General features: G+C 51.3%; 1 protein-coding gene across 3 annotated transcripts in view, besides 4 other annotated features; it reads left to right on the plus strand.

Annotated features, from left to right (window-relative positions):
• Nucleotides 1-26,743, plus strand: part of PSD2 (pleckstrin and Sec7 domain containing 2) — a 101,992-nt gene that overhangs the window by 18,559 nt on the left and 56,690 nt on the right. The window lies entirely within an intron of this gene.
• Nucleotides 1,274-1,937: an enhancer, noted in NCBI's record as "H3K4me1 hESC enhancer chr5:139141892-139142555 (GRCh37/hg19 assembly coordinates)". NCBI's record gives its function as "activates a minimal SCP1, AML or CMV promoter by ChIP-STARR-seq in primed H9 embryonic stem cells {active_cell/tissue: H9 hESC(primed)}" and the evidence as "EXISTENCE:reporter gene assay evidence [ECO:0000049][PMID:30033119]".
• Nucleotides 1,938-2,600: an enhancer, noted in NCBI's record as "H3K4me1 hESC enhancer chr5:139142556-139143218 (GRCh37/hg19 assembly coordinates)". NCBI's record gives its function as "activates a minimal SCP1, AML or CMV promoter by ChIP-STARR-seq in naive H9 embryonic stem cells {active_cell/tissue: H9 hESC(naive)}" and the evidence as "EXISTENCE:reporter gene assay evidence [ECO:0000049][PMID:30033119]".
• Nucleotides 2,601-3,264: an enhancer, noted in NCBI's record as "H3K27ac-H3K4me1 hESC enhancer chr5:139143219-139143882 (GRCh37/hg19 assembly coordinates)". NCBI's record gives its function as "activates a minimal SCP1, AML or CMV promoter by ChIP-STARR-seq in naive H9 embryonic stem cells {active_cell/tissue: H9 hESC(naive)}" and the evidence as "EXISTENCE:reporter gene assay evidence [ECO:0000049][PMID:30033119]".
• Nucleotides 26,505-26,694: a silencer, noted in NCBI's record as "silent region_16431". NCBI's record gives its function as "represses an Ori minimal core promoter by ATAC-STARR-seq in GM12878 lymphoblastoid cells {active_cell/tissue: GM12878}" and the evidence as "EXISTENCE:reporter gene assay evidence [ECO:0000049][PMID:35858748]".

Genomic DNA, 26,743 nt, shown 5'->3' on the forward strand with positions numbered 1-26,743 from the left:
TACAGTCCTTATCCCCAAGATGCCATAGTCTCAGGGAAGATGTGTGAGAGAAGAAAGACTCAGGGGCAAATACAAACCACAGCATTGCCCATCAACATCTCGGAGTCCCTGCTGCGTGCCAGGCCTGGTGCTCAGTTTTTTGCCTGATCCACTTCACTGAGTCCTCATGACCACTTGTGAGTAAGATGTGATGTCAGCCCATTTTACAGATGGGAAAATCAAGTCACAGAGAGGCGAAGTCACTTGCTCAATGTCACTATGCTTGTGAGCACAAGGTTGGGATTTGAACTCAGCCTTCTCCTCCATTCTTTCCTGTCTCCCAGAAATCATTTCATCAGTGTTGTAGAATTTCTGGCCAGAGGATCTGGGCAAAGCTGAGTCAGTCTGTTCACCTGTCAGGGTCTCCATGCTTCTGGCTGTAAAAGGGGCTTCGCACAGTTGTGAAGTGGGGATGTGAAAGAGCAGCCAGTCCCTGCCTCAGCCCTATAAGCCTGTAAGTCCCTCACAGGGTCTTCTTTCCGTCCTTTCTGCTGTAGTTCCCCTTCACTCCTCCTCCGTGGACACCAGTTTCCCTTATTTCCTGTTTCCCTTATTCCTTGGCTTAGATCAGCACCCCCTAACCTCTGCTTTCCATGACCCTTGCTTGGAGGAGGAGATGTGTGTGCGACAGGCAGTGTTAAATAGCCCACCGGCCTCCATCTGGTGCTGTTTCCTGACTGCTCAGGGAGATCATCCATGGCTTAGGACCAGTGGGGACACTGTTGACTTTGTGATATATGTTTTGGTCAGGAACCCCTGGCTGTCTGCAGCCCTCACCCTGCCTGCCTTTTAAGGTGAGTTCCCAATACCAGGCAGGGCTCTGGAAGGCAGCTGTCCAGGAGTACCTCATCCCAACCATGAGGACCTGAGGAGGGTCATTTAGCCTTTCTGAGCCTCCGTTTCCATAGCTGTAAATCAAGGATAATAATAATGCCTGACAGATAGTAAGCATTCAATAATTTTTATTTTTATTTATTTATCTTTTTTTTGAGACGGAGTCTTGCTCTGTTGCCAGGCTGGAGTGCAGTGGCGTAATCTCGGCTCACTGTAACCTCCGCCTCCTGGGTTCAAGCAAGTCTCCTGCCTCAACCTCCCAAGTAGCTAGGACTATAGGTGTGCACCACCATGCCTGGCTAATTTTTGTATTTTTAGTAAAGACAGGGTTTCACCATGTTGGTCAGGCTGGTCTTGAACTCCTAACCTCAGGTGATCCACCTGCCTTGGCCTCCCGAAGTGTTGGGATTACAGGCATGAACCACCACGCCCAGTCCTTCATTCGTTTTTTCTTAAGACAGGGTCTTGCTCTGTTGCCCAGGCTGGAGTGCAGTGGCGCAATCATAGCTCACTGCAGCCTCAAACTGGGGCTCAAACGATCCTCCCACCTCAGCCTCTTGACTAGCTAGGACTACAGGTGTGCACCACAATGCCTATCTAAGTAAAGAAATGTTATGTATAGACCCAGGTATCCCCTGTATTGCCCATGCTGAGCGCTCAATAATTGTTGCCTATTGTTAGTTGAAGTACCAGGTTGCTTGTTGAGGTCACAGAGGGGTCAACCAATTGTCACCCTCTTCTAGCTTGGCCCTAGATGGCCTTTTTTAGCGTGTCCAAGAGAGGAGGGTCATCTACCCTGCAGACAGTACTCCACTCAGAAAGGCTACAGACCCCTCCCGGCAGACCCCTCCCGGCAGAGCCAGCCCCCTTTCCTGCCAGGGGGATGGCAGGACAGGAGGCCTGGCTGGGGAGGTGGTGGGGCTGTGGCAGCAGAGAGGGGAGGCAAAGGTTGGCAGAGTGGGGAGAGATGGCCTGGGGGGAGAGCAGCGGAGTCGCTGGGGAGAGAGGGAGGCTGTTGCGCTATAAATACCTTCCAGGTAACAGGACCCATAAATGAAGGGAGGGAATTAGTCACATTCTGCAGCGCCTCAGAGAGAGGACAGGGAGCAATGACCTGAATCCACGGAAGGAAAAAAATTAGGCTAACCTTGTTGGGTGAGGGGGAGGTTAGGGGCCGGATGCTGTGCCTCCTCAGTGGGGTGCCTGAACAGGCTCTGCTGGGCGGGCCCAGGGAGGAATAACCCTGGCAGGAGGGGTCTGGAAGAAACATCTTGTCTATTCCCTCCAGATGTGTGAGGTGTGTGGGACTCTTCCTTTTCTTCTCAAGGATCTCCTGGCCTCTCTCTGAACCTCACACCCATTCCTCCTGGGAAGTCCTTCCAGGAGTCTAGCCCAGTTGTTCTTCACGTCACTCTGAAGCATGTTTTCATTCACTGCGCTCACTGTCTTTAAGCCCTGGCTCCCCCTGGGGTGCCCACCTTGTCAGGCATCTAGCTCTGGGGTCATTCCCTGGGTTCCCAATCAGGCAGAAGGATCTTTGCCGGGGAAGGCAAGAAGGCCGTGTCCTACTTCCACTCTGGACTCAAGCCGAGTGGGCCCACTTGTCCCTTGCTGGGATGATGACCATGGCCTGTGCTCTAGTCTCCTAGCTCCAGCTTCACCTGCCCTGGGCCAGCCCCTCACCCCCAGGGTTGCCAGAGCAATAGTCAGGCATGCCCTCCCTTGCTCACACCTTCCCTGCTCCTCTCGGAATGGAGGCCAGTCCCCTCGGCCTGGCACAGCGAGCCTCCAGGATTGGCCTCCAAGCAGCTTCCTAACCACATCTTCTGCCTTTGCTCTCACACCCAGCCTGCCAGTCTACATTCTCCAGGTCTTTGCACCAGCTGTTCTTTCAGCCTAGTGTTCCTGCCTCTTGCTATGCCTGGTCGACTTGCGTTTTCTCCCAAGACCCGAGCTTGAGTCTGAAATTCTCTCTGCTGCCTCCCCAGCTGAGTTGGGTCCTCCCTCATCTGTGCTTCGGAAATTCTCCAGCAAAGGTAGTCTGGGGAAGTCACCAAGATCCAATTGGGAAGTCCAGCTCTGCCTCACCCTGACTACATGGCCTCTGGTGAATAGATGAGCTCTCCTGTGCCTCAGTTTCCCCATCTGTGAAAAGGAGTTCTCACAGTGCTTCCCAAGGGTTTTACAGTTTAGGCAAGATCCTGCATGAGGAGGGCTGAGCACACAGTCAGCGGGTGGCTGTTGTTGGGGTCACAGTATTGATCACACTGTTTCTGTGTCTGCCTCCCCTGCGGGCTGCGAGATGGGGAGGGAGGGGGGCAGTGCAGCGTCCCCGTGTGACTTGTCGCCGCCACAACCGCAGTGGCCAGCTCGCGCCTGGCACTGAGACCGTAAGCAAATGTTTGCTGAATTAATGAGTGGGGGCTGCAGGGAGGGCTTGGGCTGCAGTTCCGCCTGGGCTGCTGCAGCTGGGGCGCGTACGTACATCCGTGTGCCCCTGGGAGTGTGAGTGAGGGGCGCCTGTGGGTGGGGGAGCCATATCCGTGTCCCGGGGGTCTGGCGGCGCCGTGGGCAGCCTGGCGCGCCCGCTCCCTGGGGTCCCCGCCGAGCGCCTGCCTGGCTGCGGGACCCCGTTGCCAGGAGCAGTCAGGATGCGGCAGCGTCTCCATGGCAACGCGGCATCTCGAGCCGCGCGCCGCCCTCCCCCGGCGCCCCGCAGTGGGCAGGAGGCCGAGCCTGGCAGCCCCTCCCGGCCCAGCAGCCAGCAAGCTGGGCCAGGAGGCCGAAACCTGATGGGAGGGGCTGAGCAGGGGGCTCCTTATTTTCTAGGGATAAGGGGCTGACCTGCCTTTACTTCCCACCTCATCTGGGGGAGGTAGATAATAGAGCCTGTCCTCTGTCTATGAGCAGCACCCTCCACACCCGCCAGGAAAGCAGGAATAGGTTCTGGTCAGGGCAGGATACCCTCACTGGCGAAGGGACATTTCTGATCTAAGTCCTGGCTGTGAAAGTGGCGCTGTTGTGAGGGGCACTGAGGCACAGCCAGGGAAGTGCCATACTGTTCCAGGGCTTCAGTGTGACCCCAGTGACTTCCATGACCCACCCGATGTCCACCCATGTCCCCACTTCTCATAGATAATGCCCAGTACCTGCCACGAACCCTTCCAACGCCCCCTCACCCTCTCAGTTGTGCCATATCCCCAGACCCACTCAGTACTTCCCACTGCGGGTTCCGTGACCCTCCCACCCCTGGTTCCCACTCAGTGCCCCTTCTGCTCGCTATCTTCACACTGCCTTCCAGTTCTTCCCAGCACACAATGTCTCCAGTTGTTATTCAGTACCCCCAGTGCCTACGCAGTGGTACTTCCAACATGCACTCAGGGCCCCCGTTACCACCAGGAAACCACCCAGCGCCCTCTTTCCAGTTTAGGCTTGGTACCACTTAAATAGCCCCCAGGGACCACCCACTGCCCCCAGTACCTGCCCGGTGGCCCCCAGTGCCCTCCTATTAATCGGCCCAGTACCCTGCACATCCACTGTAGTTCCCCACCTCTTCGTACTTCTGTTCACCTAGTGCTAACCACTACAATCTCGTTCTGCCCAGTATATTCCCACCATGCAGCCCCTTGCCACATTATTTCCAGATAAATCCCCATTCGCCCCCTTGCCCACCTCCCACCCTCCAAGCCCAAGCTCCGCCGGGCCGCAGTGCTCGCAGCGGCCAGGAGGGGGAGAGAGCGAGTAGTCAGCAGGAGACCGAAGCGCGGGGCGCGGCTGGGGAGAGGGTCGAGGGGCAGCATCCAAGGCCGTCTTCTTACAAGGGCTGAATCCGAGCCCAGGGTGCGGCTGCGTTCCGGGGGGGTTCCTCCCGGAGTGACCGCACCCCTGCCCCGCATCTTCTGCAAACCCCTCCGGGTCCGCCGCCACCGCCGCCGTCGTGGCTTTGGCTCTGAGAAGGGGCGCGCGCCCTCTGGTGGCTGCTGAGCAGTACAGCTTCCTAGGCCGATGAGAGGACGCCGCTCTGGCCCGGGGTGGTGCGTTCGTTCCCTCTCTCTTTCCCTGTCCTCCTTTTTTGGGCCTGTCCTCAAGCTGGCGGCGATGGGGTGACGGCAAGCCAGGCCCCTCTGTGGTGGCTGGGTAGAGAGCCTGGGGTCTGGATGAAGGGAGAACATTGGGTAGGGAGGTGTGGAACCAGGGCCTGGGGAGAGGGACCGCGGAGCAGAATGGTGGTGGGGGTGGATCGCTGAGTCCACAGATGAAGGACTAACAGATGGATCTGAACTCAGGAAGTCTACAATCTGAGCTGTGATTCGATGTGCTGTTTGTAGAAGGGGGCGATACAGGATTGGTGGCAGTAGGGTGAGGCCTCCCTTCCAGGCCTGGCAGTTCTATCTGGCCCTAAGCCTTTCATGGGATACTTGTTGATGGACCTACCCTTCGATGACTCTGTTTCTGCCTCTGCCCGTCTACCAGCGCCTAGCCTTCTTTTCACCTGCCTGGGCCTGTTTCTCAGTCTTCAGCAGTCCTGGAATGGTGGGGGGCACCCTCTCCCTGTCCCACAATATGGGGTTTTCTCTCCTCTGTGTATGGGGGAAATGGATGGAGCTAGAGCAGAAGGGACCCAGGTTAGACTCTTGCAGTCTGTCCTGAGTTTAGGTGACCTTGGCCTGTAGGACCCTCCATGGTTAGATCTGTGATTTTGTGCCCATTCCAGCAGCCCCACCTCGATGGATTAATAAGTTCCCTTAGACTTAAAGGTCCTTAGAGATGCCTCCTCCATCCTCGCCATTGCCTGGCTGGGGAAACTGAGACACCCAGCAGGTTAAGAATTGCTCTAGGGCGAATAGAGGGGTAGGCATCAGGATAGTAAGGTGATAAAGAGCACTGACTGGCCTGGGTTTGAGTCTGGGCAAGTCCCTTCCTTCTTTCTTTCTTTCTTTCTTTCTTTCTTTCTTTCTTTCTTTCTTTCTTTCTTTCTTTCCTTCTTTCCCTCTTTCCCTCCCTTCCTTCCTTCCTTCCTTCCCTTCTTTCTTTCTTTCTTTCTTTCTTTCTTTCTTTCTTTCTTTCTTTCTTTCTTTCTTTCTTTCTTTCCTTCTTTCTTTCTTTCTCAGAGTCTCGCTCTGTCACCCAGGCTGGAGTGCAGTGGCACAATCTCGGCTCACTGCAAGCTCTGCCTCCCAGGTTCACACCATTCTACTGCCTCAGCCTCCCGAGTAGCTGGGACTACAGGCACCCGCCACCTTGCCCAGCTAATTTTTTTTGTATTTTTAGTAGAGACAGATTTCACCGTGTTAGCCAGGATGGTCTCGATCTCCTGACCTCGTGATCCGCCTGCCTCGGCCTCCCAAAGTGCTGGGATTACAGGCGTGAGCCACCGCACCCAGCCACCATCTTTCTTTCTTTCTTCCTTTTATTTTTATTTTTTAAAGACAGAATCCCACTCTATTGCCCAGGCTGGAGTGCAATGTCACGATCTCAGATCACTGCAACCTCCACCTCCCGGATTCAAGGGATTCTTATGCCTCAGTCTCCCAAGTAGCTGGGATTACAGGCATGCACCACCATGCCCAGCTAATTTTTGTATTTTTAGTAGAGACGGGGTTTCCCCATGTTGGCCAGGCTGGTCTCGAACTCCTGATCTCAAGTGATCTGCCCACCTCGGCCTCCCAGAGTGCTGGGATTACAGATGTGAGACACGGCATCTGGCCCCTCCTGTCTTTGTAAGCATCAGTTTTCTTATTTATAAAATGAGGATCAAAACTCTACCTACTTCCCAGGAGAGCTGTAAAGATTCAGTCAGATGAGGATGATATTGGAGAGAATAATAACAATGATTGGAGCTGTTAATAATGTTAACTGAGCACTCACTTTGTGCCAGGTGCTGTGCAAAGTGATTCAGCACATGCAATCCAAGAGGTTATATACCAGCTTGACAGAGGTAAGGCTCTTGCTCAGAGGCTCTCAGTGATGACCAGCTCACAGGCAGAGTGACAAAGCCCCTACCAGGTCTAGTGCCTGACCCCAGGGCACCAGGATGAGTTCCAGAGTCCTCTGCCTCAGCTAGGGCTGGAGGCAGAGAGAGGGACAAGAAGACCTTGAGCTGTCCCCTGTGCAGTGCTCCCCTGTCCCCTGGGCCTGGCTCAGATATCTGGCCCCCCGCCAGGGAGGGCAAAGGGGCTGGTTGATGGAGGTAGCACGTGTCCCAGCCTGGGCAGCTGAACCTGGGGGCCTTGCCCCGGAACCTGGAACCTTTCCTGCAAAGGGAATATCCTACAGCAGGAAGGAAGGAAGTGGGGAGGGGGAGGAAGAGGAGGGAGAAAGGATAGGACAGGCCCCAGCTGGGAGAGAGTTCTCTCCCAGACAGGCCAAGAAAAGAGGACCTCTGGACTCCAGGCTGAGAGGCCAGTGGGCTGGTCACCCTGGCTGCGGTTTAGATGTGTGTAGTGGGGGAGAGGAGGGCATAAAAAGAGAATGTGACCCACTCACTGCCCTCTGTTTCCTCATTTGTGTAACAGGTATAAAAACACCTTCCTTGGCCAGGCATGGTGGCTCAAGTCTGTAATCCCAGCACTTTGGGAGGCCGAGGTGGGTGGATCGCCTGAGGAAGGGAGTTCGAGACTAGCCTGACCAACATGGAGAAACCCCCGTCTCTACTAAAAATACAAAATTAGCTGGGCTTGGTGGCGCATGCCTGTAATCCCAGCTATTTGGGAGGCTGAGGCAGGAGAATTGCTTGAACCTGGGAGGCAGAGGTTGCTGTGAGCCGAGATCAAGCCATTGCACTCCAGCCTGGGCAACAAGAGCAAAACTCCATCTAAAAAAAAAAAAAAAACAACACCTCCCTCCCTCCTGGGCTGGATGGGAGTAAAAAAGTGAGGTCAGGAATGTAAAGAGCCAATCGGGCCTGCAACATGGTGGGTGCATCATGCCTCTCAGTCCCTCCACCCTGGACTAACTGTCTGATCTGTAAGACAAGACAGTAGCTCATGCAGAGTCCAGACTCCCACAGCCTGTGAACTCATGCGTTCAGTCAACAACATTATTGAGCACCTACTACGTGTTGGGGTCTGGGGCTATTGCCCTGAACAGGAGCCAGTCCCTGCCCTCATGGAATTCTGTCATTGGTGGAGGGTAGGGGAAGATGAGTCACCAGGCAGTGATGTTGGAGAAGCACAGGGCCTGTGACCCAGCCTGGTGGGTTGGGGAAGACTTCCTGAAGGAGGTGATATTCATGCCAGGACCCAGAGGGAGTGTGCATAGTCTGAAGAAGGAGCATGGTGGGAAGAGGGCTCCAGGCAAAGGGAAGAACAGGCACAGAGCCTAAGACCCAGGGCAAGCAGGGCTACGGCTGCAGCAGAGCAGGTGGCGGCGGGGGTTGGGGGAGAGGAGGACGGGCCTCAGGCCTCAGGGATAGGGCTGTGGGTATTTTCCTGACAGCAAAAATCCAGAGAAGCTTCTAGACAGGGGTGGCATGGTCAGAGTGCGATAAGTCCCAATGGAGGGCACTCAGGGCCTCCATGTGACCTGCTACCTCTATGCCCTCATCTCTCCCAGCTCCTCTGTGGGGGGCAGCCAGGCTGTAGCACTTGTGGCTCCTCAGGCTTCCCACCTTCCTTCATTATAAAGACTTCTCCCCTGCCTGAACTGCCCTCCTGTACTGAACCTCACCTATGGGCAGGGGACTGTGGTGGCTTGAGTTCTCATCTGTCCAGCACTTGCCCAGCCCTTCAGGGACACACCTTTGTTCCCTAAAGGTGAAGTGAGTCATAGATGCCCCACCTTCACCTCCTACCTGGCCATGGGTGGCCTTGTGACCCAGGCTGGGTCAGTCATTGCACTTCGGACTCAAGACACTGATGGTGGCAGTGGGGGGCAGTGCCCTGAGTTGGGCCAGCCACAGTCCTCCTTGGAAGTTTCCATCTGGCTTGCGGTGAGGGTGGAGGTGGGGCAGCTTCATTGACGTGGGGTCACACAGGGCCCCATGCTCACCAGGGCCTGCTTACCTTAATGCTCTGCTGTAGCTGTCTTGAAATGTCTCATAATTTCATCTTTGAACTTGTGTTTTGTAAGTGGGGTCCAGTGGGACAGTGGAGCATGCGGTACACAGAGAGGTAGAACCTGGGTGTCATGCGGGCCGGCTGGGGCTCCTGTGTGCATGCAGTGCTGGTGATGCCCGTGAGCACAGGATTCTGATGACCCCACCACATGTGGGGGCTCAGCAAGACTCAAAGTGAGTGTAAGGTAAGCTTGTTATGTCTACAACTGAGTAAGAGGAACGCTGACAGCCCTGAGGGACCTCACCATCCATTTCAACCAGAACTTGCCAGATGCAAGAAGAAGGCAATTGTGTGCTAAGAAACATGAACAGGGCCTGTCTTGGTGACTCACGCCTGTAATCCCAGCACTTTGGGGAGCTGAGGCAGGTGGATCTCCTGAGGTCAGGAGCTCGAGACCAGCCTGGCCAACATGGTGAAACCCCATCTCTACTAAAATACAAAAATTAGCTGGTCGTGGTGGCAGGCGGACTATAATCCCAGCTGCTCAGGAGGCTGAGGCAGGAGAATTAGGAGAATTGCTTGAACTGGGGAGTCGGAGGTTGCAGAGAGCTGAGATCGCGGCACTACACTCCAGCCTGGGCAACAGAGCGAGACTCCGTGTCAAAAAAACAAACAAACAAACAAAAAAACATGAATGGCCCAGGAACCCTGCTATAGCCTTCTTCCTCATGTTATTTCGCTGGATAAGCCAACCGCTGACACTAATCATGATGAGCTAGGACAGGGACAGATCAGGCAACCTGTAGTTCCTTTCCTTTCAGCCCCTCCTCACACATCATAAGCTAAAAGCAGAGCATGTTGAGAGAATGTGCATAAGTCAAGAAAAGAAATGAAAACAGTTGAGTAAGTTTTGTGCCCTTTCCCACCATTTCAGGTAAGATGAAATACACATGTGTGCACAAGGTACTGAATACAAATTATACGATTTTGATGATTCTGCATATGAGTTAAACACCCTTATATTTGCATTTAAAACTGACATTGCACAATAGAAAGATGAATAGTAAAATTCATGCTAGTCATTTAGATTTTTCATTTTTCTTTACTTAAAATGATATTTAACAAATACAAACTCATGACAAATCTAGAGGCAGACCAACAGAAAAGAAGCGAAGCTTTATATATCTCTAGGTACAGATACATAGATACTTTTATATTTTAGCGCCTTTATTATTAGGCATTTCCCTCCTGCTTTTTGAACAAGAAGCTCCACATTTTCATTTTGTGCTGGGTCCCATGTTGTGACTGGCCCGGGTGGCGGAGTCTCTATTTTAGGGTGAGGAATTGCGGGCCTGGGGACCCGGGGCTGCCCCACCCCTGGGCACTCCCTCTGTGGTGGAGCCGCCGTGGTGGGTAAGGCCCTGAATAGCCTGAGCGCAGGAGTGCAGGCAGGAAGCAGGCCTGCTTTCTTTTCTTTTCTTTTCTTTTTTTTTGAGATGGAGTCTCACTCTGTCGCCCAGGCTGGAGTGCAGTGGCACAATCTCGGCTCACTGCAAGCTCCGCCTCCTGGGTTCACGCCATTCTCCTGCCTCAGCCTCCCGAGTAGCTGGGACTACAGGCGCCCGCCACCACGCCCGGCTAATTTTTTGTATTTTTAGTAGAGATGGGGTTTCACCGTGTTAACTAGGATGGTCTCGATTTCCTGACCTCGTGATCCGCCCACCTCGGCCTCCCAAAGTGCTGGGATTACAGTCTTGAGCCACCGCGCCCCGCAGCCTGCTTTCCTTTCTATAACATTCTTCCCAGCTGGTGCAAGGTCTGGCTGTCCCTGGAGTCTGGCTCTCTCCCTGGTGTGCCACAGGCTATTTAGGGTCTGGGGCAGTGTAGCGCATATGGGGAAGTAAGTTCTCTCAGACTTCAAGATGCTGTTGCCCCTGGCCTTGGGGGGCATCTTCACTGACCACTGGGCTGCCATCCAAGGACCACGGTCCAACCCCTTCCAAGGGCAGGGCCTGCAGAGGGGCCTCAGAAACGGTGTTGCGGGACTGGAGATGGGCTTCTGTCTCCTCGCTCCCAGCACCCTTCCCCAGCCAGGTGAGGGAGAGGTAGTGGGTTCTCTCCTTGGCTTGCTCTTAGGGGACAATGAGAGGAGGAACGGAAAGCCCTTGGCAGGGATCAGTTAGCAGCCAGGCCTCCTGTGCGAGGCCCTCTCCCTAGAGGCAGAGGGAGTGGGAGTGGGAGTGGAAGGGCAGCTGGGTGGGAGGAAAAAGCGTCCCCAGACTGGGTCCTTGAAGGCAGCACAGGGGGCATTAGATCCCTCCTCCCGCTCTATGACTTTGACTCTAGTCCCAGACCCAGCAGCTCAGCCAAGTTCTCTGAGCCTGTTTCCTTCTTTATATTGTGGCTAATGACTATACCTGCCCCAAGGACTGTTGAGAGCATTCTCCGAGCCGATCTGTAAAAAGCATTTGGTGCAGAGCTGGGCACTTAGAGGTCTCGGTTCATGGAGCCCCTCCTCCCCTGCTGTGAAGAGGAGGTTGGTGATCCAGTGAGGCCTCCCTGCTCTGCGACCAGGAACACCTTCTGTCCCCTCTCCTTCTCCCTGTCCCAGGGCCTCCTTCTTTCATCTCTCCTCCTCGTCCCCTCCTTTTCTCTCTGCTGTTCCTCTAGCATGCCACACTCATGCCCAGCACAGGGCCTTTGCACTTGCTGTTTCTTCTGTCTGCAGCTCAGGTCTCCTGGATGCTTGATGACTGACTCTTGATCATTCCTTGGGTCTTTGCACAAATGTCACCTCCTCTGGGATGGTATGCCTGACTGCTCCAGTTGAAACTCCTCCTCATGCAGCCACTCTGTTACATTTCACTTTTTAATTTTCTGCACAGCAGGTAATAGGTGATAATATTCTTGTTTATTTGTTTGTTCAGTATCTTTTTCCCCTCCCCGCAGGCTGTGAGCTCCAGGTGAGTGGGCACCTTGTCTGTCTTGGTCCCCAAGTCTTCAGTGACTAGCAACACACAGTAGGTGCACCAGGCAGATACAGGTACTGTTCTTATGGAGGTCACAGTTTAATGAATGAGGCAGGATTGAAAAAGCAAAGAAATGTTTTGATACATATTTTTTTATTTACGGTAAAATATACATAACAAAATTTATCATCTTAACCTTTTTTAAGTATACAGTTCAGTGACATTAAATACATTCACATTATTGTGCAACCGTCACCACCATCCATCTTTGGAAGTCATTCATCTCGCAAAACTGAAACTCTGAACTCATTAAAACAGTAACTCCCCCACCTCCTTTCCCAGCACCCTCCACCCCTGCAACCACCTACCTTCCTTTCTTCCTACCTTCCTTCCTTTCTTCCTTTTTTTAGATTGGGTCTCGCTTTTGTCACCCGGGCTGGAGTGCAGTGGCACAATCATAGCTCACTGCAGCCTTGAATTCCTGGGCTCAAGGAATCCTCCTGCCTCAGCCTCTTGATAGCTGGGACTACAGGCACACACCACCACACCCTGCTTTTTTTCATTTTTTTCTAGAGACAGAGTCTTGCTATGTTGCCCAGGCTGGTCTTGAACTCCTGACCTCAAGCAGTTCTCCCATCTTGGCCTCCCATTTTACTTTCTGTCTCTATGAATTTGACTACCCTAGGTACATCATATAAATGGAATCATACCATATTTGTCCTTCTGTGACTGGCTTATTTCATCAGCATAGTGCCTTTGAGGCTCACTCATATTGTCTATGTCATAATTCTTTCCTTTTTAAGGCTGAGTAGTACTCCACTGTGTGGATAGACCACCATTCACCTGCTGATGGGTTCTTGGGTGGCTGCCACCGCTTGGCTGTTGTGAATGATGCTGTTATGAATGTAGGGGTATAAGCATATCTTCGAGTTCTTGTTTCAATGCTTTTGGGAATATATCCAGATGGGGGAATTGGTGGATCATATAATTTTATTTTTAATTGTTTGAGGAACCACCATACTATTTTGCATACTGGCTGAACCCTTTTATATTCCTACCAACAGTGCACAAGGGACAAGGGTTTCAATGTCCCTTGATGTAATGTCCCAATGACATTGAGGGACATTGTCCCTCAATGTCCCAAGGGTTTACATCATAGCTCACTGCAGCCTTGAACTTCTAGACTCAGGTGATCCTCCCACCTCAGCCTCCTAAAGTGTGGGATTAGAGGCGTGAGCCGCAGCACTCGGTCTCGTTTTTTTTTTGATGTGCATTGTCCTAATGATTAGATTACACATTAGGCAGGAAGCATGTTTTTCAGGAATGGAGGGTGGGGAGCCTCTTAGCTTCAGTGGTCTCAAAGGACTCTTTGGGGAGGTGGTATTTGAACTGAAGCCTAAAAGAAGGGAAGAAAGCAGCCAGTGGTGGATCTGGGATAAGGAGTGGAGGTTCAGGGAGAGGGAACAGTAAGTGCACAGGACCTGAAGTGTGGAGTGAGCACTGCGTATTTTTGCTGGAAAATAGTGAATAATGGGCAGGGGGAATGGGGGAAGAGGTGGTTTAAGAGGTGGGCAGGGCTGGCCGATGCAGGGCTGTGGGCCCTGGAAAGGCTTTCTTGCTTTTCTTTTCTTTTCTGGAGATGGAGTCTTGCTCTGTCACCCAGGCTGGAGTGCAGTGGCACGATCTCGGCTCACTGCAACGTCTGCCTCCTGAGTTCAAGCGATTCTCCTGCCTTAACCTCCTGAGTAGCTGGGATTACAGGAGCCCACCACCACGCCCGGCTAATTTTTGTATTTTTTAGTAGAGACGGGGTTTCACCATGTTGGTCAGGCTGGTCTGGAACTCCTGACCTCGTGATCCGCCCACCTCGGCCTCCCAAAGTGCCAGGATTACAGGCGTGAGCCACTGCGCCCGGCCCCGGGAAAGGCTTTCTATTTGCAATTTAGAGTAAGCACCGCTTTCCTCGGGGTCCGCAGGGCACAGGGGAGGGACGGGGCCTGATTGGGTAGTGATGTTGCTGTGTCCACCATGGGAGTGTGGTGCTTGTGGATGTGTGCACATGGAGGCGTGGAGTGTGTTCCTGGACATCACCAGGAGCCCAGATCATGATTTGACCTCTATCGAGACCGTACTGTGCCGCCGCCCTCCTGCCTGCAGTGCCATTGGCCGCCCCAGCCAAGGTTGCTTCTGGCGCCCACCACCAGTCTGGGATCAGCAAGATGGATCTGGAACCCATACCCAGGAGGTGAGGCTAGACTCCAAGAAGAACAGCCAACACTTCGAAGGTTTGGAGACAAGGCCTTGAGGCACTGAGGTCAGATTACTCCACACCCTATCTTTGCAAGGCAGCAGGGGACGCAGGAGTGTTGGGGCACTGTCTCCGGGAGTGGCGGGGGCTGCTGCAGTACCTGGGAGGGCCGCGCGGGGGCGGGCGAGGACGCCGAGCTATGAGAGGAGGGAGGGCGCGCGAGGCCGAGTGGGGAGCTTGGAGCAGCGGGAAGGTCAGGGGCGCCCATCTGCGGCACTCTCGGTTTGGCTCAGTTTCTGCCTACAAGTGTCTGTGCGTGTGAGGAGAAAATAAAGTCATGAGCTCATCACCATCCCAGTGGCGTCTCATTTAATCGTCATACCAACATCCTCACAGGCCCAGAGACGTAGAGCCACTTACCCAAGATCACTCAGCAGGGGAATTCAGACCAGGCCCGCCTGACCCCCCAGCCTGTGCGCTACCCAGTGCCCCACCCTAAATGAACTCATCTGCAGGGGAGGGAGTTTCTTCGCCTGTCTTCTCCTTCTCCTTTCTTCTTCCTTTTTTTGTGAGAGAGAGCTCTTATCGCCCAGGCTGGAGTGCAATGGCACGATCTCAGCTCACTGCAACCTCCGTCTCCGAGGTTCAAGCGATTCTCCTGCCTCAGCCTCCCAAGTCGCTGGAATTATAGGCATGCGCCACCACGCCCTGCTAATTTTTGTATTTTTAGTAGAGACGGAGTTTCGCTATGTTGGTCAGGCTGGTCTCAAACTCCTGACTTCAGGTGATCCACCTGCCTCGATCTCCCAAAATGCTGGGATTACAGGCGTGAGCCACTGAGTCCAGCCTCTTCACCTGTCTTCTGACCTCAGTTTGCCCCCACCACACTCTGCCTCATCCCCCTCCAAGACGCCTCCCCAAGGTCCCTGAGGAGGGGTTCAGGGGCCCTGGGGAGAGCTCAGATATATACCCCATCACCATGGTAACGACACCGGCAGGATAACATCCAGTCTCCTTCCTGACCTCCTGCCGCTGAGGGCTGGGGAGGGGTATCCAGGGAGCCTGGCTGAGCCCCTGGCCTGCTTCTGGGACCCCTGCCACCTCTGCTGAATCTCCTCTGGGCATCGGGCCCAAGTCCCAAGGGCTGTAAGCTGGGATACAACCAGGGTCCCCCTAAAAAACCCAGCAGCCTCCCTCCCCCAAGTGCATGACTGGCAGTTTGGCCTGCCCTGGAGGAAAAATCATGGGTAATTTCAGCTGAGAACATTGAGCAGAAGGGCATCCTGAGGCCCAGAGAGGAGCAGGGAATTATCTAGGATCCTGCAGCAAGGCAGGGGCTGAGGCTTTGTTTGTTTTTGTCCAGAAACGGCTGGATGACCCCAGAAAAAGAGGTCAATAAGATATGTACCCAGAGGCTGGAGATTGAGGGGCCATAAAGTCAGTTTTCTGAACTCCTCCAGGAAGTCCTCCCTGACCATCCCCTCTATTCACCAATGTTAGACATGGTCGCAGAGCTCCCTTGACACTTTGCTCAGGTCATTCTGAGCTGCTTTTTTTTTTTTTTTCCAGATAGGGTCTTGTTCTGTCACCCAGGCTGGAGTGCAGTGGCATGATCAAGGCTCACTGTAGCCTCAACTTCCTGGGCTCAAGTGATCCTCCTTCCTCAGCCTCCTGAGTAGCTGGTGAGCTTCATTAAGGCACCTCAAAGAACCACAGTCCATTCTCCTGGCCAGCCTATAAATCCCCTCTCTAACCCTCCCGACAATGGGCTGCCCATCTTGCTTGCACACCTTATGTGATGGGGAGATAGCTGCCTTAAAAGGCATGTAGTTTCCACTGTAGGACAGTTTCTTCTAGTGAGACCAAGCTGGCCTTCTTGTGCTGTCCAGCTGTTGGAACTAGCTCACTCTGTGGAGCACAGAACAAGTGACTCCATCTGCTGCACACAGGCCCCAGATGGCTGCAGAGAGGTCTGTGTCCTCCCATCCCCATTCCAGCCTTTTCTCCAGCTTAAGTGGTGCCAGTTCCCTATAAACAACCTTTTCAGCCCTTCATCTCCTGGGCAACCCTCCACTGGGTATACCCTAATTGGCAATGGCCCCTTCTGTAGTGGCTTTTTCTCAATACACAAAAAAATATGTGTTTGTTATAGGGAAAGTAAAAAATATGCACAAGGGAAAAATATCCCCAATCCTACCACCCAGAGATGACCTCTTTTAGCTCCTTGGGGCCTCTTGTTGCAAACAGATGCCAATGTGTGCATTAAAGTGAGAGGCAAAAGCAAGACTATTTCAAAGCTGGTGGGAGGGAGGCCTTGTAGGGGAGAAAGGCAACGTCTGTCTAACTTAGTAGCTTGAAGGTCATTTGGTTGTAAGACAGGTTTGCTCAGGAAGACTGAGGATTGGGGCAAAGAGAATAAAATAATTTTGATGATAAAGAAAAATTTAGTTTCCAAAGGCCATGCTAGAAATGTGGGGAGCAGCCTGGGTGCTGTGGCTCATGCCCTTAATCCCAGCACTTTGGGAGGCCGACGTGGGTGGAGTGCTTGAGCTCTGGAGTTCGAGATGAGCCTGTGCAACATGGCCAGACCTCATCTCTACAAAAATACAAAAATTAGCTGCGTGTGGTGGCACACACCTGTGTTCCCAGCTACCTGGGAGGCTGAGGTGGGAGGATTGCTTGAGCTCAGGAGGTTGAGGCTACAGTGAGCCATGATAGCCCCACTGTATTCCAGCCTGGGTGACAGAGGGAGATCCTGTCTCAAAAACAGACAAATAAAAAAAGAAATGTAGGAGCATTTTGCTGAAGCATTGCCCTCCAGACAGGCTCCCAACAACCATTCCCTCTCAGTCTCCACCACCTTCCTCCTAGAGCCTGGGAACAAGGCAAACCCAGGCCCCCATGGGCAGGGCCTCTTTCAGAATGAAGAAGCGAGGGCTTCAGTGCTGGCCCCCTAGGAAAGTCCTACACAAGGTCCAGTTATGCCTTCACTGCAAATGTCAGTCAAAGTTGTATGCCCAATTAGTGGCACTCGAGGTGTGAAGGAATAAGTGTGGTTCCCAAGGGACAGTGCAGGGGGAAATGGGACAGTGCACACAAGATGTACAAGGCAGGTGGGAAGTGGAGAATGTCATGAAAATAGGAAGACAGCTAGTCACAATAAGGAGACATTAAGGCCCCCCAAGAACTGTAAGCCTTGGGACAGGCAGTGGTACACTGAGTAGCCCATGTCATGGGATGGGGTCTCTAGTCAAGAGAAGAGTGACTCCAGAGGCTCTGCTTCCTCCTTAACTGTATAGATAAAGAATATCTTTCCATTTCAGCAAATATTTGTGATGCATCATTTTAATGACATAATACTCCAGTGCATAAAGACACCACAATTTCTTTAACCAATACCCTATTTTAGGACATTTAAGTTATTTACAACTTTTTGCCATTATAATCAATATTGTAATGAACATCCTTGTAGCTATATCTTTGCCCACATCCATCTTTATTTTCTTAGGATAAATCCCTAGCAATGAGGGTCAGGCGTGGTGGCTTACGCCTGTAATACTAGCACTTTGGGAGGCCAAGGATCGCTTGAGCCCAGGAGGTTGAGATCAGCCTGGCAACTTGACAGAAACCCATCTCTCCAAAAAAAAAAGTGCAAAAAATTAGCTGGGTGTGGTGGCACGTGCCTATAGTCGCAGCTACTCAGGGGGCTGAGGTGGGAGGGTTGCTTGAACCCAGGATGTCGAGGCTGCAGTGAGCCATGATAGTGCCCTTGCACTCCAGCCTGGGTGACAGAGCGAGCCAATGTCTCAAAAAAAGAAAAAAAACAAAAAAAAAAAAAAAAAGAAAGAAAAAATTTGGTTAAAGGACAGAAACTTTTTTAAGGCTTTTGGTGCATGTTGACAAATTGCTTCCCAAAAGGTGCGCTGCATTTGCCTCCTAAATGCTGACAGCTGTGGGCCTGTGCTGATTTCCCCAGGACTTAGCCATCAGTTGTTTTTTAATTTATTTATTAATTTTTTTTATTTCCATAGGTTATTGGGGAACAAGTGGTGTTTGGTTACATGAGTCAGTTCTTTAGTGGTGATTGTGAGATTTTGGTGCAGCCATCACCTAAGCAGTATACACTGCACCCAATTTGTGGTCTTTTGGCTGTCTTCTTCTCCACATTTTATTGTTAAAATTTCAGACATACAAAAAAGTTGAACAAATTTTACAGTGAACACCTACGTAGCCACCCCCCGGGTTTTCTAATTTATTTTAGTGCCATCTTTGTCTTGTCATTATCTATGCATCCCTCCTTTACCCATCAAGTCATCTTTTTTGAGTGTATATTAGAGCAAATTACAGCTATCAGTACACTTTGACCCCCAAACACTTCAACATGTTTATCATGAACTAGAGGTCAATGCTTGTGTATGGTTCTTTGTTCTATGAAGGCAAAATTTTTTATACAATGAAATGCACAAATCTTAAGTATACCATTTATTGAGTTTTAACAAATGCATATATTTGTATAAGCCCAACTCTATCAAGATATGGAATATTTCCATCACTCCAAAAAGTTTCCTAGTTTCCCGGTTGCCCCCATTGTTCTGATTTCTTTCCACCATAGCTTAGTTTTGCTCATTCTAGAATGTCATAATCATCGAATCATGCAGTATCTACTCTTTTTACCTGGCTGGTTTCATTCAGCATAATGTTCTGGAGCTTCGTCCTGTTGTTGCATGTATCAGTAGTTTGTTCCTTTTTATTGTTGAGTAGGAATCCATTGTATGGATGTGTAATAGTTTGTTAATCCATTTGCTTCTTGACAGACACCTGGGCTGTTTCTAGTTTGGAACCATTGTAAACAAAACTGCTATGAAATTGTTGTACAATCTTTGTGTGAATATATGTTTTCATTTTTTCTTGGGGACTCGAGTGGAAATGCTGCATCATAGGGTGGGCATATGTTTAGTTGTCTAAGAAACTGCTTGACCTATTTACAAAGCAGTTCTACCATTTTATACTCCCACCAACATTTTACACTCTACCCTTGAGTTCTCAGCTCAGAACACAATGGGTTCTCAGCTCAGAACACAATGGGGTTGTCACCTCCTCAGTGTCAGATGCTGCACCTTGGTGGATACCAGTGAAGGTTACAATGACAGGGTTGGCTGCAGTTGACCTGGCAATCAGCTGTACACCCCAGGCTGTTTCTCATGGACAGATGAATGGATGGATGCTCAACCAGCTCTCCGTGACCCTGAACTTGTATAATTGCTTTGTTGGAACCTGAATGTTGTCTTTTTTCATTTGTCCTCATTAAATTTCTTTTTTTTGTTGTTGTTGTTCTTTTTTTGAGACATTGTCTCGCTCTATTGCCCAGGCTGGAGTGCAGTGGCGTGATCTTGGCTCACTGCAACCACTGCCTCCTGGGTTCAAGTGATTCTCCTGCCTCAGCCTCCCAAGTAGCTTGGATTACAGGCACGCAGCACCATGCCCGACTAATTTTTGTATTTTTAGTAAAGACGGGGTTTCACCATGTTGGCCAGACTGGTCTTGAACTCCTGGTCTCAAATGATCCACCAGCCTCGGCCTCCCAAAGCGCTGGGATTACAGGTGTGAGCCACCATGCCTGCTGTCCTCATTAAATTCCATCTTGTTGGTTTTGAATTCGGCCTCCAGCCAGTCCTGTTAATGATGAGAGTAGCAAACTCTCATACATGCGCCATGTCCAGACCCTTGGTTAACTCATTCAGACTTTGGGAGAATCCTGTGAGGGAGCTACCATTATCCCCATTTTAGAGATGAGGAAATTGAGGCACAAAGAAGAGGTTAAGTAACTTGCCCAAGTTGACTCAGTCATAAATGGTGAGATTAGAACCCAGGTAGTTCAGATTCAGATGTTGTGGTCTTAACTATTCACTCTGTTGCCTCTTTTCAGCTTCTGATGCCATCCCCTTTCATCTTCCAGTCTCCAAAAACACATTGAGCATGCCTCTAATTCTTCATTCAAATTATTGTTTAAAAAAACAAAACAAAACAAAAACCCTATGGACCAGAGAAGTCCAGGGCCAAGGGTGGAGCCTCTAGAGATCTCCTTTTGCACGGGCCTTATTCTATTTGTCCAGAATTCTTGACAGTGATTACTTGACCAGCTGCAAGGTTATAAAACTGGGATCCAGCTGTGGCTGTTCACCATAGTCTCAGGACAGCATTCATCACATATCTCTCTCTTTTTTTTTTTTTCTGAGACGGAGTCTTGCTCTGTTGCCCAGGCTGGAGTGCAGTGGTGCAATCTTGGCCCACTGCAAGCTCCACCTCCTGGGTTCACGCCATTCTCCTGCCTCAGCCTCCCGAGTAGCTGGGACTACAGGTGTCCGCCACCACGCCCGGCTAATTTTTTGTATTTTTAGTAGAGATGGGGTTTCACTGTGTTAGCCAGAGTGGTCTTGATCTTCTGACCTCGTGATCCACCTGTCTTGGCTTCCCAAAGTGCTGGGATTACAGGTGTGAGCCACGGCGCCTGGCCTTTTTTTTTTTTATTTTGAGATGGACTCTCACTCTGTTGCCCAGGCTGGAGTGCAATGGCGCAATCTCGGCTCACTGCAACCTCCGCCTCCTGGGTTCAAGCGATTCTCCTGCGTCAGCCTCCTGAGTAACTGGGATTACAGGCACATGCCACGACACCTGGCTAATTTTTGTATTTTTAGCAGAGATGGGGTTTCACCATGTTGGGCAGGCTGGTCTCGAACTCCTGACCTCAGGTGATCCGCCCACCTCGGCCTCCCAAAATGCTGGGATTACAAGTGTGAGCCATTGTGCCTGGCCTCATCACATATCTCTCTGAAATCGCACACACACACAGCATTTCATATCATAATTGCCTGCCTGGATTTACCTGCCCAGGGGCCCGAGAAAACAAAGGGATCAGAAGGTGGGGCGGGGGCAGTACTTATTTGAGCCCATGTGGGCTCCCAGTGGCCCTTCACAGGGCCTTTCATAGGCCCTAGGTTTCAGCCCAGTATCTGGCCTGTATTAGGTGCTCAATAAATGCTTGTTATCTAGTTTTTTTTGTTTGTTTATTTGTTTGTCTGTGAGACGGAGTTTCACTCTTGTTGCCCAGGCTGGAGTGCAGTGGCACAATCTCGGCTCACTATAACCTCCGCCTCCTGGGTTCAAGTGATTCTCCTGCCTCAGCCTCCCAAGTAGCTGGAATTACAGGTGCCCACTACCATGCCCAGCTAATTTTTGTATTTTTAGTAGAGATGACGTTTTGCCATGTTGGCCAGGCTGGTCTCAAACTCCTGACCTCAGGTGATCCGCCCATTTTGGCCTCCCAGAGTGCTGGGATTACAGATGTGAGCCACTGTGCTGGGCCTGACTAGTTTTTTTTTTTTTTTTTTTTGAGACACAGTCTCACTCCATAGCCCAGGCTGGAGTGCAGTGGCGTGATCTGCGCTCACTGCAACCTCTGCCTCCCGGGTTCAAGCAATTCTCCTGCCTCAGCCTCCCAAGTAGCTGGGACTACAGGCGCATGCCACTACGCCCGGCTCATTTTTTGTATTTTAGTATAGACAGGGTTTCACCGTGTTGCCCAGGCTGGTCTCGAACTCCTGAGCTCAGGCAATCCTCCCACCTCGGCCTCCCAAAGTGCTGGGATTACAGGCATGAGCCACTGTGCCCAGCCCTGACTAGTTTTTGAAGGTCACTTGGCTTTATTTTATTTTTTACTGTGGTAGAATAGCATAAGATTTACCACTTTAACCATTTTTAAGTGTGCAATTCAGTGATATTAGGTACCCTCAAAATGTCATATAATCATCACTAGTATGTAGTATATTTCCAGAACTTTTTCATCGTCACAAACAAAAACTCCATCCATTAGATGAGAACTCACCACTGCTCTCCCTCCAGCCTCTGGTCATGTCTATCCTACTTTCTGTCTTTATGATTTGCCTTGTCTAGATATTTCATATAAATTGGAATCACACAGCATTTGTCCTTTTGTGTCTGAGTTATTTCACTTAGCCTAACATTTTCAAGATTAATCTGGCTGGGCACGGTCACACCTGTAATCCCAGCACTTTGGGAGGCGGAGGTGGGAGGATCGCTTGAGCCCAGGAGTTCAAGGTCAGCTTGGTCAACATAGTAAGACCCTCGTCTCTACAAAAATAAAAATAAAAAAAATTAGCTGGGCAGGGTGGTGCGTACCTGTGGTCTCAGCCACTTGCGAGGCTGAGGCAGAAGGATCGCTTGAGCCCAGAAGTTGAAGGCTACAATGAGCTATGATTGCACCACTGGACTCCAGCCTGGATGACAGAACAAGACCCTGTCTCACAACAGATGCGTCCATATTGTAGCAGGTGTCAGTGCTTCCTGTCTTTTTAAGGCTGATGTTCCATTGTATGGATGTAGCACATATTGTTAATCCATTCACCTGTCGATGGACACCAGGTTGTTTCCACCTCTTGGCCGTCATGAGTAGTGCTGCTCTGAAGTTTATGAATTGTAGACAGGGTCTTGCTGTGTTGCCCAGGCTGCTTGTTAACTGTTATTTCATAACCCTGCTGTTGGGTTCTCCCCAGTCTTTTCCACGAAAACGGCTCTTGTCAAGGTCCCCAGTGGCCTCCATGCTGCTAAAGCCAAGGGAGATTTTCAGCTCTTGTTTCACTTGATTTCATCGGCAGCTTCTGACTCACTCAGTCTCATTTCTCCTCGATATTGTCTCTTTGTTTGGCTTACAGGATTTCTTTCTTTTCCTCTGCCTCTCTGCACAGATGCTTTTTCTCAGTCCCTCTTCTTGTTTCTCCCCTTTCCCCTTTCTCCTTCTGCTAGCTCTTTTTTTTTTTTTTTTTTTTAGACAGGGTCTTGTTCTGTCGCCCATGCTGGAGTGCAGTGGCATGATCTCGGCTCACTGCAGCAACCTCCTGGGTTCAAGTGATCCTCCCACCCTAGCCTCCCAAGTAGCTGGAACTACAGGCACGCACCACCACACTGGCTAATTTTTGTATTTTTTGCAGAGAGGGGTTTTGCCATGTTGCCCAGGCTGGTCTTGAACTCCTGACCTCAAGCGATCCACCCGCCTCTGCCTCCCAAAGTGGTGGGATTACAGGTGTGAGCCATTGCGCTGGCCTCCCCCAGCTCTTAATGTGGGAGGGCCTCAGGGGTCCATTCTTGGTCCTGTGACACGGCCCTCCCCGACTCCTGTGGTGACCTCACCCACTCATCCCCAATGTGTATCTCCACCCAGACTTTTCTGTCTGCCACTCTGACATCTCTGCTTAGATCACTAATTGACATCTCGATGGCCTCCTAACTGGGTTTGGCTCTGATGTCTCCAATCTATCTCTAACACAGCAGCCAGAGGGAGCCTTTAAAAATATAAGTCAGATCAAATCAATTCTCTGGCCCAAAACTTTGGTGGCTCCTGATGTCACTTAGAGTCAAAGCCAAAGTCCTCATCATGGCCTACAACGCCCTCCATCATCTGGCCCCTGCTGCCTCCCTGCTCTCACCTCCCACATCCTTCCCTGTTCCCTTTGCTCCTTGCTGGTCCATGAACATGCCCAGCATATTCCCACCCCAGGGCCTTTGCACTGGCTTTTCTTCCTTCCTGGAAATCTCTCCTGCCATATGTCTACATGACAAATTCCCCCCCTTTTTTTTTTGAGACGGAGTCTTGCTCTGTTGCCCAGGCTGCAGTGCAATGGCATGATCTGGCTCACTGCAACCTCCGCCTCCTGGGTTCAAATGATTTTCCTGTCTCAGCCTCCTGAGTAGCTGGGATAACAGGTGTGCACCACCACGCCTGGCTAATTTTTTTTTGTATTTTTAGTAGAGACAGGGTTTTAGCATGTTGGCCAGGCTGGTCTCAAACTCCTGACCTCAGGTGATCTGCTCACTTCAGTCTCCCAAAGTGCTGGGATTACAGGCGTGAGCCACCTCGCCCAGCCTACCTCTTTCTTGTCTTTTGTTCAACTTCATCCTTTCAAAGTGCCCACTGATAATACTCTATTTAAAGTTGGAACACCTCTCACTCTGTCTACCCTTCTCATCCCCTTTCTTTGTCTTCTCTTCTCCTCTCCTCTCCTCTCCTTTCCTCTTCTCCCTTCTTCCCTCCCTTCCTTCCTTTTTTTTTTTTCAGGGTCTGCTCTGTTGCCCAGGCTGGAGTGCAGTGGTGCTATCTCGGCTTACTGCAACCTCTGCCTCCTGGGTTTAAGCAATCCTCCTGCCTCAGCCTCCCTAGGAGCTGGGACTATAGGCATGCACCACCATGCCTGGCTAATTTTTGTATTTTTAATAGAGATGGGGTGTCACTATGTTGGCCAGGCTGGTCTTGAACTTCTGACCTCAGGCAATCTGCCTGCCTTGGCATCCCAAAGTGCTGGGATTACAGGTGTGGGCCACCGTGCCCGGCCCTCATTGCCTTCCTGATGGCCTGTTTTCCCTGTGATGCTCGTCACTGTCTATAATATTATATACTTCACTTACTTATTATGTTTGTTTCTTCTCTCCTCCCACCTCCATTGGAAGCATGATTCAGGAGGGCAAGGATTTTTGTGTTTTTTTGTTTACTGATATGGCTCACCTAGAATAGTGCTTGGTACATGTAGGGACTCAATATATATTTGTTGAATGAATCAGTGAAGGAAGGAAGTATGATAATGTGGGAAGGGGTCTCCAATCTAAAAATGGGTTAGATGCTGGGTGCAGTGGCTCGCGCCTATAATCCCAGCACTCTGGAAGGCTGAGGTGGGAAGATCGCTTGAGGTCAGAAGTTTGAGACCAGCCTGGGCAATGCAGGGAGACCTTGTCTCTACAAAAAATTTAAAAATTAGCCAGGAGTGGTGGCATACACCCGCGGTCCCAGCTACTTGAGAGGCTGAGGCAGGAGGATCCCTTGAACCCAGGAGTTTGAGGTTACAGTGAGCTGTGATCACACCACTGCACTGTAGCCTGGGTGACAGAGTGAGACCCTGTCTCAAAATAAATAAATAGCCTGGGCGCTGTGGCTCACACCTGTCGTCCCAGCTCTTTTGGAGGCTGAGGCAGGAGGATCTCTTGAGCCCAGGAGTTTGAGATCGGCCTGAGCAACATAGTGAAACCCTGTCTCTACAAAAAATTCAAAAATTAGCCAGGTGTGGTGGCGGGTGCCTGTAGTTCCAGCTACACAGGAGGCAGAGAGGTGGGGGGATCACCTGAGCCCAGGAGGTTGAGACCGGAGCGAACAAAGATCGCTGCCACTGCACTCCAGCCTGGGGGACAGAGCAAGACCCTGCTTCGCTTTATTAAAAATAAATAAATAGATAAATAAATACATTTTTAAAATGAGTTAGGGTCAAGAAAAGGTGGCTTTCTGGTATGCCCAGGTGTCATGGACATTAGAGCTGTTTGCTGTGCAGCAGCTGTCCCCATTCTCCTGAAACATTCCCCCATTTTCCTTTGGGACAAATCCCCACCCACCATCAGTCAGTCCATGTGGTGGATCACCTGCGGCTGACTCCAGGCTTCACTTCAAAGGGGCAGTGACTCTTGGTGACTCAGTGATTGGTTCAGGGCTGGGAGCATTTCACATTTCACCATGTTGCCCAGGCTGGGCCGATGAGACTGAGTCCTGAGACTTCTGCTTGTACTGCACTGTTGGAATGGGGACGGCTTCTTCCCTCAAAGCTGGACGTAAGCTCAGACCTGCCTTAGCCAACTTGACGCGTTTTTGGAAGAGCCTGCCTGGAAATGAAGGCAGTGCAGAAGAGCACTGGGCTACAGATGTGGAGAAAGATCACATTTGAAAGCCTCTTCTGTACTGCCTGACCTACTCCTAAACTTGACTTTCCATTTAGAGAAACCCCTTTTCACTGATCAGTTTGAGTTGGGATTCTGTCACTCGCACAACCACTTACAGTACACCTCCACGAGCATCCGAACCGGGGAGTGAGGAGGGACGGGTTGGGGCCTGGGGGGTGTGTGGGATGTGTGGCCCCAGTGGTCTTCCCAAGTGAGAGAGGCTGAGCACATGGAGGGCACTCACTTAGCAGTGCTAGATGGAGGTGGCATGAAAACAGATTGCCTTGGCCTTGTCCTAGAAGCGCTCTCAAGCTGTCAGCGGAGAAGGTCATGGGCATGAACGGGGCAAACAAGACCAAGGGCTCCTACCATGCCTGAGCTGCAGGCTAAGCTGAGATGGATTCTGCCCCTCCACTCCACCCCCACGCCCCAGTGCAACAGAAAGCCCAGTTCCAGCACAGACGAAGGGGGGCCTGGGCTCTGCCACTTACTAGGGGTGCTCTGGGGTAAGTCACTGAACTTTCTGAGCTCGTGTCCTCATAGGTAAAATGGCAATCATGTCCACTTCATAGGAGTGCTGTAAGGGTGAAATGAGGTCATGCGTGGCAAGAACTCAGCATGAGCCTGGCTCACAGAACACTCTCAGCAGCAGTCAGCTGCCACAACCAGCGTTTGTTGGTGTTCTCTCCCAGCTAAGGAGTCCGCCTGGTGCCGCGGGTGCAGTTTCCAAAAACACCAGCAGGTGGCGCCCCGACCCCAAAAGAGCCCCCGTCGCTGGCCTTCCCAGGGCCGGGAGGGGCTGGGCTGGGCGGCCTGTTGAATCTCGGCCAGTTAGACCCGCGATCTTTCCCGCTGCACGGGGACCCGTGCGTGAACTCCTCTCAATT

Source organism: Homo sapiens, chromosome 5 (genome assembly GCF_000001405.40).
Source record: "Homo sapiens chromosome 5, GRCh38.p14 Primary Assembly".
In the NCBI taxonomy this organism is placed as follows: Eukaryota; Metazoa; Chordata; class Mammalia; order Primates; family Hominidae; genus Homo; species Homo sapiens.